Source organism: Homo sapiens, chromosome X (assembly GCF_000001405.40).
Source record: "Homo sapiens chromosome X, GRCh38.p14 Primary Assembly".
Lineage (NCBI taxonomy): Eukaryota > Metazoa > Chordata > Mammalia > Primates > Hominidae > Homo > Homo sapiens.
The window spans coordinates 99,234,546-99,247,132 of NC_000023.11; positions in this window are offsets into that span (position 1 = coordinate 99,234,546).

Below are 12,587 nucleotides of genomic sequence, written 5' to 3' on the forward strand. Positions count from 1 at the left end.
TTCAGTTTTTTAGTGTATTTACAGAGTTGTGCAACCATCATTCCTACCTAATTACACAACATTTTCATCACCTCAAAAAGAAACCCAGCGAATAGGAACAGCTCCAGTCTATAGCTCCCAGCGTGAGTGACGCAGAAGACGGGTGATTTCTGCATTTCCAACTGAGGTACCGGGTTCATCTCACTGGGGAGTGCTGGACAGTGGGTGCAGGACAGTGGGTGCAGCACACCCTGCGTGAGCCAAAGCAGGGCGAGGCATCACCTCACCCGGGAAGTGCAAGGGGGCAGGGAATTCCCTTTCCTAGTCAAAGAAAGGGGTGACAGACGGCACCTGGAAAATTGGGTCACTCCCACCCTAATACTGTGCTTTTCCAATGGGCTTAACAAACAGCACACCAGGAGATTATATCCCGCACCTGGCTCGGAGGGTCCTATGCCCACAGAGCCTCGCTCATTGCTAGCACAGCAGTCTGAGATCAAACTGCAAGGTGGCAGTGAGGCTGGGGGAGGGGTGCCCACCATTGCTGAGGCTTCAGCAGGTAAACAAAGTGGCCAGGAAGCTCAAACTGGGTGGAGCCCACCACAGCTCAAGGAGACCTGCCTGCCTCTGTAGGCTCCACTTCTGGGGGCAGGGCACAGATGAACAAAAGGCAGCAATATCCTCTGCAGACTTAAATGTCCCTGTCTGACAGCTTTGAAGAGAGTAGTGTTTCTCCCAGCACACAGCCTGAGATCTGAGAATGGGCAGACTGCCTCCTCAAGTGGGTCCCTGGCCCCTGAGTAGCCTAACTGGGAGGCACCCCCCAGTAGGGATGGACTGACACCTCACACGGCCGGGTACTCCTCTGAGACAAAACTTCCAGAGGAACAATCAGGCAGCAGCATTTGCGGTTCACCAATATCCACTGTTCTTCAGCCACCGCTGCTGATACCCAGGCAAACAGGGTCTGGAGTGGACCTCCAGCAAACTCCAACAGACCTGCTGCTGAGGGTCCTGACTGTTAGAAGGAAAACGAACAAACAGAAAGGACATCAATACCAAAAACCCATCTGTACGTCACCATCATCAAAGACCAAAGGTAGATAAAACCACAAAGATGGGGGAAAAAACAGAGCAGAAAAACCGGAAACTAAAAATCAGAGCACCTCTCCTCCTCCAAAGGAACACAGCTCCTCACCAGCAATGGAACAAAGCTGGATGGAGAATGACTTTGACGAGTTGAGAGAAGAAGGCTTCAGAAGATCAAACTACTCCGAGCTAAAGGAGGAAGTTCGAACCAATGCCAAAGAAGTTAAAAACTTTGAAAAAAAATTAGACGAATGGATAACTAGAATAACCAATGCAGAGAAGTCCTTAAAGGACCTGATGGAGCTGAAAACCACAGCACGAGAACTACGTGACGAATGCACAAGCCCCAGTAGCCAATGCAACCAATTAGAAGAAAGGATATCAGCGATGGAAGACAAAATGAATGAAATGAAGCGAGAAGAGAAGTTTAGAGAAAAAAGAATAAAAAGAAAAGAAACAAAGCCTCCAAGAAATATGGGACTATGTGAAAAGACCAAATCTATGTCTGATTGGTGTACCTGAAAGTGACGGGGAGAATGGAACCAAGTTGGAAAACACTCTGCAGGATATCATCCAGGAGAACTTCCCCAATCTAGCAAGGCAGGCCAACATTCAAATTCAGGAAATACAGAGAATGCCACAAAGATACTCCTCGAGAAGAGCAACTCCAAGACACACAATTGTCAGATTCACCAAAGTTGAAATGAAGGAAAAAATATTAAGGGCAGCCAGAGAGAAAGGTCGGGTTACTCACAAAAGGAAGCCCATCAGACTAACAGCGGATCTCTTGGCAGAAACTCTACAAGCCAGAAGAGAGTAGGCACCAATATTCAACATTCTTAAAGAAAAGGATTTTCAACCCAGAATTTCATATCCAGCCAAACTAAGCTTCATAAGTGAAGGAGAAATAAAATACTTTACAGACAAGCAAATGCTGAGAGATTGTTTCACCACCAGGCCTGCCCTAAAAGAGCTCCTGAAGGAAGCACTAAACATGGAAAGGAACAACCGGTACCAGCCACTGCAAAAACATGCCAAACTGTAAAGACCATCAAGGCTACAAAGAAACTGCATCAACTAACGAGCAAAATAACCAGCTAACATCATAATGACAGGATCAAATTCACACATAACAATACTAACCTTAAATGTAAATGGGCTAAATGCTCGAATTAAAAGACACAGACTGGCAAATTGGATAAAGAGTCAAGACCAATCAGTGTGCTGTATTCAGGAAACCCATCTCATGGGCAGAGACACACATAGGCTCAAAATAAAGGGATGGAGGAAGATCTACCAAGCAAATGGACAACAAAAAAAAGGCAGGGGTTGCAATCCTAGTCTCTGATAAAACAGACTTTAAACCAACAAAGATCAAAAGAGACAAAGAAAGCCATTACATAATGGTAAAGGGATCAATTCAACAAGAAGAACTAACTATCCTAAATATATATGCACCCAATACAGGAGCACCCAGATTCATAAAGCAAGTCCTTAGTGACCTACAAAGAGACTTAGATTCCCACACAATAATAATGGGAGACTTTAACACCCCACTGTCAACATTAGACAGATCAATGAGACAGAAAGTTAACAAGGATATCCAGGAATTGAACTCAGCTCTGCACCAAGTGGACCTAATAGACATCTACAGAACTTTCCACCACAAATCAACAGAATATACATTCTTTTCAGCACCACACCACACCTATTCCAAAATTGACCACATACTTGGAAGTAAAGCACTCCTCAGCAAATGTAAAAGAACAGAAATTATAACAAACTGTCTCTCAGACCACAGTGCAATCAAACTAGAACTCAGGATTAAGAAACTCACTCAAAACCACTCAACTACATGGAAACTGAACAATCTGCTCCTGAATGACTACTGGGTACATAACGAAATGAAGGCAGAAATAAAGATGTTCTTTGAAACCAATGAGAACAAAGACACAACATACCAGAATCTCTGGGACACATTCAAAGCAGTGTGTAGAGGCAAATTTATAGCACTAAATGCCCACAAGAGAAAGCAGGAAAAATCTAAAATTGACACCCTAACATCACAATTAAAGGAGCTAGAGAAGCAAGAGCAAACACATTCAAAAGCTAGCAGAAGGCAAGAAATAACTAAAATCAGAGCAGAACTGAAGGAAATAGAGACACAAAAAACCCTTCAAAAAATCAATGAATCCAGGGGCTGGTTTTTTGAAAAGGTCAACAAAATTGATAGACCACTAGCAAAACTAATAAAGAAGAAAAGAGAGAAGAATCAAATAGATGCAATAAAAAATGACAAAGGAGATATCATCACTGATCCCACAGAAATCCAGACTACTATCAGAGAATACTATAAACATCTCTACACAAATAAACTAGAAAATCTAGAAGAAATGGATAAATTCCTCAACACATACACCCTCCCAAGACTAAACCAGGAAGAAATTGAATCTCTGAATAGACCAATAACAGGCTCTGAAATTGAAGCAATAATTAATAGCTTACCAACCAAAAAAAGTCCAGGACCAGATGGATTCACAGCCGAATTCTACCAGAGGTACAAGAAGGAGCTGGTACCATTCCTTCTGAAACTATTCCAATCAATAGAAAAAGAGGGAATTCTCCCTAACTCATTTTATGAGGACAGCATCATCCTGATACTAAAGCCTGGCAGAGACACAACAAAAAAAAGAGAATTTTAGGCCAATATCCTTGATGAACATCGATGCAAAAATCCTCTATAAAATACTGGCAAATCGAATTCAGCAACACATCAAAAAGCTTATCCACCATGATCAAGTGGGCTTCATCTCTGCGATGCAAGGCTGGTTCAACATATGAAAATCAATAAACATAAACCAGCATATAAACAGAACCAAAGACAAAAACCACATTATTATCTCAATAGATGCAGAAAAGGCCTTTGACAAAATTCAACAACCCTTCATGCTAAAAACTCTCAATAATTTAGGTATTGATGGGACATATCTCAAAATAATAAGAGCTATCTATGACAAACCCACAGCCAATATCATACTGAATGGACAAAAACTGGAAGCATTCCCTTTGAAAACTGGCACAAGACAGGGATGCCCTCTCTCACCACTCCTATTCAACATAGTGTTGGAAGTTCTGGCCAGGGCAATCAGGCAGGAGAAGGAAATAAAGGGCATTCAATTAGGAAAAGAGGAAGTCAAATTGTCCTTGTTTGCAGATGACATGATTGTATATCTAGAAAACCCCATCGTCTCAGCCCAAAATCTCCTTAAGCTGATAAGCAACTTCAGCAAAGTCTCAGGATACAAAATCAATGTGCAAAAATCACAAGCATTCTTATACATCAACAACAGACAAACAGAGAGCCAAATCATGAGTGAACTCCCATTCACAATTGCTTCAAAGAGAATAAAATACCTAGGAATCCAACTTACAAGGGATGTGAAGGACCTCTTCAAGGAGAACTACAAACCACTGCTCAAGGAAATAAAAGAGGATACAAACAAATGGAAGAACATTCCACGCTCATGGGTAGGAAGAATCAATATCGTGAAAATGGCCATACTGCCCAAGGTAATTTATAGATTCAATGCCATCCCCATCAAGCTACCAATGACTTTCTTCACAGAATTGGAAAAAACTACTTTAAAGTTCATATGGAACCAAAAAAAGAGCCCACATTGCCAAGTCAATCCTAAGCCAAAAGAACAAAGCTGGAGTCATCATGCTACCTGACTTCAAACTATACTACAAGGCTACGGTAACCAAAACAGCATGGTACTGGTACCAAAACAGAGATATAGACCAATGGAACAGTACAGAGGTCTCAGAAATAATGCCGCGTATCTACAAATATCTGATCTTTGACAAACCTGACAAAAACAAGCAATGGGGAAAGGATTCCCTATTTAATAAATGGTGCTGGGAAAACTGGCTAGCCATATGTAGAAAGCTGAAACTGGATCCCTTCCTTACACCTTATACAAAAATTAATTCAAGATGGATTAAAGACTTACATGTTAGACCTAAAAACATAAAAACCCTAGAAGAAAACCTAGGCAAACCATTCAGGACATAGGCATGGGTAAGGACTTCATGTCTCAAACACCAAAAGCAATGGCAACAAAAGCCAAAATTGACAAATGGGATCAAATTAAACTAAAGAGCTTCTGCACAGCAAAAGAAACTACCATCAGAGTGAACAAGCGACCTACAGAATGGGAGAAAATTTTTGCAACCTACTCATCTGACAAAGGGCTAATATCCAGAATCTACAATGAACTCAAACAAATTTACAAGAAAAAAACGACCCCATCAAAAAGTGGGTGAAGGATATGAACAGACACTTCTCAAAAGAAGACATTTATGCATCCAAAACACACATGAAAAAATGCTCATCATCACTGGCCATCAGAGAAATGCAAATCAAAACCACAGTGAGATACCATCTCACACCAGTTAGAATGGCAATCATTAAAAAGTCAGGAAACAACAGGTGCTGGAGAGGATGTGGAGAAATAGGAACACTTTTACACTGTTGATGGGACTGTAAACTAGTTCAACCATGGTGGAAGTCAGTGTGGCAATTCCTCAGGGATCTAGAACTAGAAATACCATTTGACCCAGCCATCCCATTACTGGGTATATGCCCAAAGGACTATAAATCATGCTGCTATAAAGACACATACACACGTATGTTTATTACGGCACTATTCACAATAGCAAAGACTTGGAACCAACCCAAATGTCCAAGAATGATAGACTGGATTAAGAAAATGTGGCACATATACACCATGGAATACTATGCAGCCATAAAAAAGGATGAGTTCATGTCCTTTGTAGGGACATGGATGAAGCTGGAAACCATCATTCTGAGCCAACTATCGCAAGGAAAAAACCAAACACCACATGTTCTCACTCGTAGGTGGGAATTGAACAATGAGAACACATGGACACAGGAAGGGGAACATCACACACTGGGGCCTGTTGTGGGGTGGGGGGAGCGGGGAGGGATAGCATTAGGAGATATACCTAATGCTAAATGACGAGTTAATGGGTGCAGCACACCAACATGGCACATGTATACACATGTAAGAAACCTGCACATTGTGCACATGTGCCCTAAAACTTAAAGTATAATAATAATAAAATAAAATAAAATAAAGAAACCCAATAACCATTGGCACTTAATCTTATTTCATTCTCTCTCTGAGCGCTGGTAACAATTCATCAACTTTTTGTCTGTGGATGTGCCTGTGTTTGACATTTCATAAAATTGAATCATTCATATGTAGCCTTTTTTTGGGGTCTGATTTCTTCCACTTACCATAATGTTTTCAAGATTCTTCCAAGTTGTAGCATGTATCAATACTTCATTTTTTATGGCTGAATAATATTTCATTATATGAATATATCACATTTTATTTATCCATTCATCAGTTGATGGCAATTTGACTGTTATAATTAATGCTGCTATGAACATTTGTATATAAGTGTTTTTGTGAACATACATTTTCACCTCTCCTGGTTATATGCCAAGGAGTGGAATTCCTAGGTCATTTGGTAAATCTGTATTTAACTTTTTGAAGAACTGCCAGACTGTTTTCCGAAGTGGCTGAGCCATTTGACATTACTCCTAGCAATGTAGCGTTCCAATTTCTCCACATTCTCACCAAGACTTGTTCTTGTCAGATATATAATTTGCAAGTATTTTTCTCCCATTCTGTAAATTGTATTTTCACTTTATTCGTGGTGTTTTTTGAAGCACAAATATTTCAAATTTTGATAGATTTCCATTTATCTATTTTTCTTTTGTTTCTTCATCTTTAAAGATCACGTCTAAAACATAATTGCCACATTCAAGGTAACAATGACTTTTGCCTGTGTTTTCTTCTAAGAATGTTATAACTTTAGCTCTTACATTTAGGCATTTGATCAATTTTTTTTTTTTTTTTTTTTGCTAATTTTTGTATAGGGTGTGAGGCAAGGGTCCAATAGTTACTTCATTATTTATTGAAAAGACTGTAGTTTCCCCAAAGTGTTATCTTGGCATCCTAGTAAAAATAATTAACCATAGTTTCTTTCTGGACTCTCAGTTTAACACCATTGATGTATGTGCCTGAGGATATTTTGATGATTTCATAAATGAAGTAGTTTCTTAATTTTATTTTCAGATCGTTGCTTATAGAGTTATCTTAAGATCCCACAAATTAAATACATATATATTTGATTAAACAATATGTGTAATCTTTGCATTCAAAATTGTATTAAGTGCTAATATATTGAATATACACAGTCAGGATGGGGCAGTGAGACTATCAAGTCTGGAGATGAGAGGCAAGTGAATTTCACTTCCACTGGCCAAGGCTGTTGCACTGGAACTGCCCCCTCTCCCTATGCTGAGAACTCAGCAGAGCAGCACTGATCCTCAGTCTGGTATTTTGCCACAAGCCTGAAGACGATCCTGCCCCCCGCCCCCATCAAGGTAGATGCCTGCATCTGCCATCGGGGGGCATGAGTGCAGGTTTCCAAGGTCCAGCTCTACCCGGCTTAGTCAACCTTCTCTGAGACAGAGGATGCCACCCAGGCCCCTGAGCATTCCTTGGTCTGACTCACCACCTGGGACACCAGAGCACTTCTCCTGCTTAACAAAGATCAAGCATAAAACCTATTGTGACCACCACAGCTGGTTTTTACCTACAGGCACCACCTACTGGTCTGGAGGTTGGCCTATACAGCCCATTACAATGACTGCTGACACAAGATTACAGTGCTGTGGAAGGAGACAAGTTACTTGCAACCACTGGTACCCCAGCTGCTCAGGAGGTCATGAATCTGCTCACCCACCCTGTACACTGCTACTGTAATCAGCATTTGAAAAAGCCACCATATGATGGGTAATTATAGCCAAAAAAATTATAGAGTCTTTGCCACTGCACACACACGGAAGTGAAGACAAAGAGCCCTACTCAACATGCATTACAGATACATCCTCGAGAAAAATAAGACCTGCCATAATGAAAGTAAGTTAAAAAATAACAAGAAGCAATTGTTACTCAATGTGTGTAGAAATCAGTGTAATAATACAGAAAGCGTGAAAAAGTCACGTATTATGACACTGCCAAATGAACACTATAACTCTCTAGCAATGGAGCCTAATCAAAAAAAAAAAACCCTCAAAATGCTAAATAAAAATGCAAAATATTGATTTTTTTTATTTTAATAGCTTTTGGGGCACAAGTGGTTTTTGGTTACAGGGATGAATGGTGTAGTGGTGAACTCTAGGATTTCAGTGTACCCATCACCCAAGTAGCATACATTGTACTGAATATGTAGTTTTTTATCTCTTACCCTCCCTCCCAATCTCCCCCTTCTGAGTTTCCAAAGTCCATTATAGCACTAGCTATGCCTTTGCATACCCATAGCTTCAGCTCCAACCTATAAGTGAGAACATATGGCATTTGATTTTCCATCCTAAGTTACTTCAGTTAGAATAATGACACCCAGCTCCATCTGAGTAGGTTTGAAAAACATTATTTCATTCTTTTTTTGTGGCTGTAGCTGAGTAGTATTCCATGGTGTATATATAGCACATTCTCTTTATCCACTCATTCATCAGTGGACACTTAGGTTGGTTCCATATCTTCACAATTGTGAATTGTACTGTGATTAACATACTAGTGCAGCTGTATTTTTGATATAATGACTTATTTTTCTTTGGGTAGATACGCAGTAGTGTGATTGCTGGATCACATAGTAGATCTACTTTAGTCCTTTAATAACTCTCCTCTACTATTTTTCATAGCGGATGCACTGCTTTTCACCACATCCATGCCAACATCTATTGATTTTTAACTTTTTAATAATGGCAATTCTTGCAGGGGTAAGGTACTATCTCCTTGTGGTTTTAATTTGCATTTCCATGAAAATTAGTGATGTTGAGCATTTTTTCATATATATTTATTGGCCGTTTGTACATCTTCTTTTGAGAATTGTCTCTTCACGTCCTTTGCCCACTTTTTGAAGGGATTATTTGTTTTTTTCTTGCTGATTTATTTGAGTTCCCTATAGATTCTGGATATTAGTCCTTTGTCAGATGTATAGTTTGTGAATATTTTCTCTCACTCTGTGGGTTGTCTGTTTAGTCTGCTGATTATTTCTTTTGCTAGGTAGAAGCTTCTTAGTTTAATTAGGTCCCATGTATTCATTTTTGGTTTTGTTGCATTTGCTTTTTGGATCTTAGTCATAAATTCCTCGCCTAGGCAAATGTCCAGGAGAGTTTTTCATAGGTTATGTTCCAGAATTTTTATGGTTTCAGGCCTTAGATATAGGTCTTTGAACCATTTTGAGTTGATATTTGTATAAGGTGAGAGATAGGGATCCAGTTTCATTCTTCTGGATATAACTATCCAGTTTTCCCAGCACCATTTATTAAATAGGTTATCCTTTACCCAATTCATGTTTGTGTATGGTTTCTCAAAGATCAGTTGGTTTTAATTATTTGGCTTTAATTCAGGGTTCTCTATTCTGTTCCATTGGTCTGTCTATGTGCGTACTTTTATACCAGTGCCATGTCGTTTTGGCAACTATAACCTTGTATTATAATTTGAAGTCAGGTAACATGATGCTTCCAAATTTGTTCTTTTTGTTTAGGATTACTTTGGTTATTGGGGTTCTCTTTTGGTTCCATATGAATTTTAGGATTATTTTATCCAATCCTGTGAAAAATTATGTTGGTATTTTTATAGGAATTGCATTGAATCCATAGGTTGCTTTGGGCAGTATGGTCATTTTCATAATATTGAGTCTTCCAATCCATGAGCATGAGATGTGTTTCCATTTGTTTGTGTTATCTATGATTTCTCTCAGGAGTGTTTTGTAATTATCCTTTTAGAATTTTTTTATGTCCTTGATTAAGTATATTTCAAGGCATTTTTTTGCAGCAATTGTAAAAGGAATCCAGTTCTTCATTTGATTCTCAGCTTGGCCATTGTTGGTGTACAGCAGTGCTACTTATTTGTGTACATTGACTTTGTAACCTGAGACTTTAGTTAATTCATTTTTTCAAATCTAGGAGGCTTTTGGAGGAGTGTTTAGGTTTTTTCTACATATATTATCATACAATAAGCAAACAACAATAGTCTGACTATCTCTTTTCCAATTTGAATGCCCTTTATTTCTTTATCTTGGATGACTGCTCTGGCTAGGACTTCCACTACCATGTTGAATAAAAATGGTTGAAGTAGGCATCTTTGTCTTAATCTGTTTCTCAGGGAGAATGCTTTCAGTTTTTCCCCATTCAGCATGATGTTGGCCGTAGGTTTTCCTATATGGCTTTTATTATTTTAAAGTACATCCCTTCTATACCTAGTTTGTTTAAGGTTTCTTATCATAAAGGGGTACTGGATTTTATTTTGTGTTTTTTCTGCACCTATTGAGATGATTACATGGTTTTTGTTTTTAATTCTGTTTATGTAGTGTATCAAATTTATTGGCTTGCATATGCTAAACCATCCTGGCATCCCTGGGATAAAACCCACTTGATCACGGTGTATTATCTTTCTGATGTGTTGTTGGGTTTGGTTAGCTAATACAAAATATTGACTTTAAAGAGGTTCAATGGTACAAGAGAAATCTGAAAGCCAATATAGAGAAATCATAAAATCAACTTGGGATACGAATAAGAAATTTACCAAACAGATAAATTCCAAACAAAAAACAAAAGCAAAAACAAAAACAAAAAACAAAAAAAATCTGAAAAATAGTAATTATGAAAGAAATTACAAAATACACTTGAAAGCTTGGACAACCGACTAGACAAAGCAAAAGACAGAATCTGAGTATTTGAAAACAGGCCTTTTGAATTAATTCAGTCAGACAAAAATAAAGTAAAAAGAATATAAAATAATAAACAGGGGGTTAGAGACATATGAGACTATATCAAGTAAATTTAAGAATTATTGGTGTTCCCAAGGAGGAAGAAAACTTTTTAAGTTTACAAAATCTATTTAAAGTAATAATTGATGAAAACTTCCCAAGTCTGACATGAGATATACACATTCAGATACATGAGGCCTAGTGATCCTCAGACACATAAATGAGAAGATGGACTTCACCATGCCATATAGACATTATACTGTCTAAAATCCACATGATGGAAAAATTCTAAAATCACCAAAAGAAAAGTATCTAGTCAGACGAACAGAAATCCATCAGACAAACGAGATCTTCTCAACAGAAACCTTACTAGCCAGAAGAAAATAGCTTGATATTTTCAAAGTGCTGAAAGAACAAAAATCAGCCAATAATTTTATATCCAGCTAGAATAAACTTCATAAATAAAGGCAAAAGAACGTCTTTACCAGACAAGCAAACACTGAGTGAATTTGTCACCATTGGAACCATCCAAGAAGAAATGCTCAAAGGACTCCTAAACAAAAAAACAGAAGGTTGATATTTGCCATCAGAAAAACACATGAAAGTAGAAAGCTCATAGGTCTCATGAAACAATCACACAAAGAGGAAGATAAATAATTCAATTGGCAAATTGACTGAATTCCACCTAAACACAAAGACAGACAGAGATATATAAAGGAACAAATAATCCATGTAACAACTGGATAACAATTAACTTTATGAAAGAAATAAAACTTCACATATCAATATTAATTTTGAATATAAATAGATTAAATGCTCCAATCAAAACATATAGTTTGGCTTAATGAGTAAAAAAAAAAACAAACAAACATGATCTAACTATACACTGCTTATAAGAAATTCACCTTGTCAGGACAGGCACTGGGAGACTGAAAGTAAAGGGATTACAAAAATACTCCATGCAAACGGAGAAGAAAAGTGAGCAGGAGTAGCTACAGTTACATCAGATAACAAACATTAAATCAAGAACAGGAAAAAGAGACAAAGAAGGTCATTATATAATGATAAAGAAATCATTTAGCAGGAGGATCCAGCAACCCTAAAATATATGCACCTAACACAAAAATACCCAGGTCCATAAGACAGACATTACTAGACCTAAAGAAAGAAATTGACAGTAGTACAATAATACTGGGAGACTTCGAGGTTATTATTACCGTAATTCCAAACCCAAAGACATAACAGAAAAAGAAAACTAAAGATCAATATCCCTGATTAATGTAGATGCAAAAATCCTCAACAAAATGCTAACAAACCAAATCCAACAACACATTAAAAAGGTAAAACACCATTATCAAATTGGTTTTGTACTAAGGATGCAAGGATGGTTCTACATACTAAATCAATAAATGTGATATGTCACATCAGTAAAATTAAGGACAAAATCCAAATGATCATCTCAATTGATGCAGAAAAACTTTTAGATAAAATCCAACATTCCTTCACAATAAAAATTCTCAACAAACTAGGCATAGCAGGAACATACCTCAAAATAATAAAGACCATATACTACAACTACCCAGCCAACATCATACTGAACTGGGGCAAGTTGAAAGCATTCCTTCTAAGAATTAGAACAAGAGAAG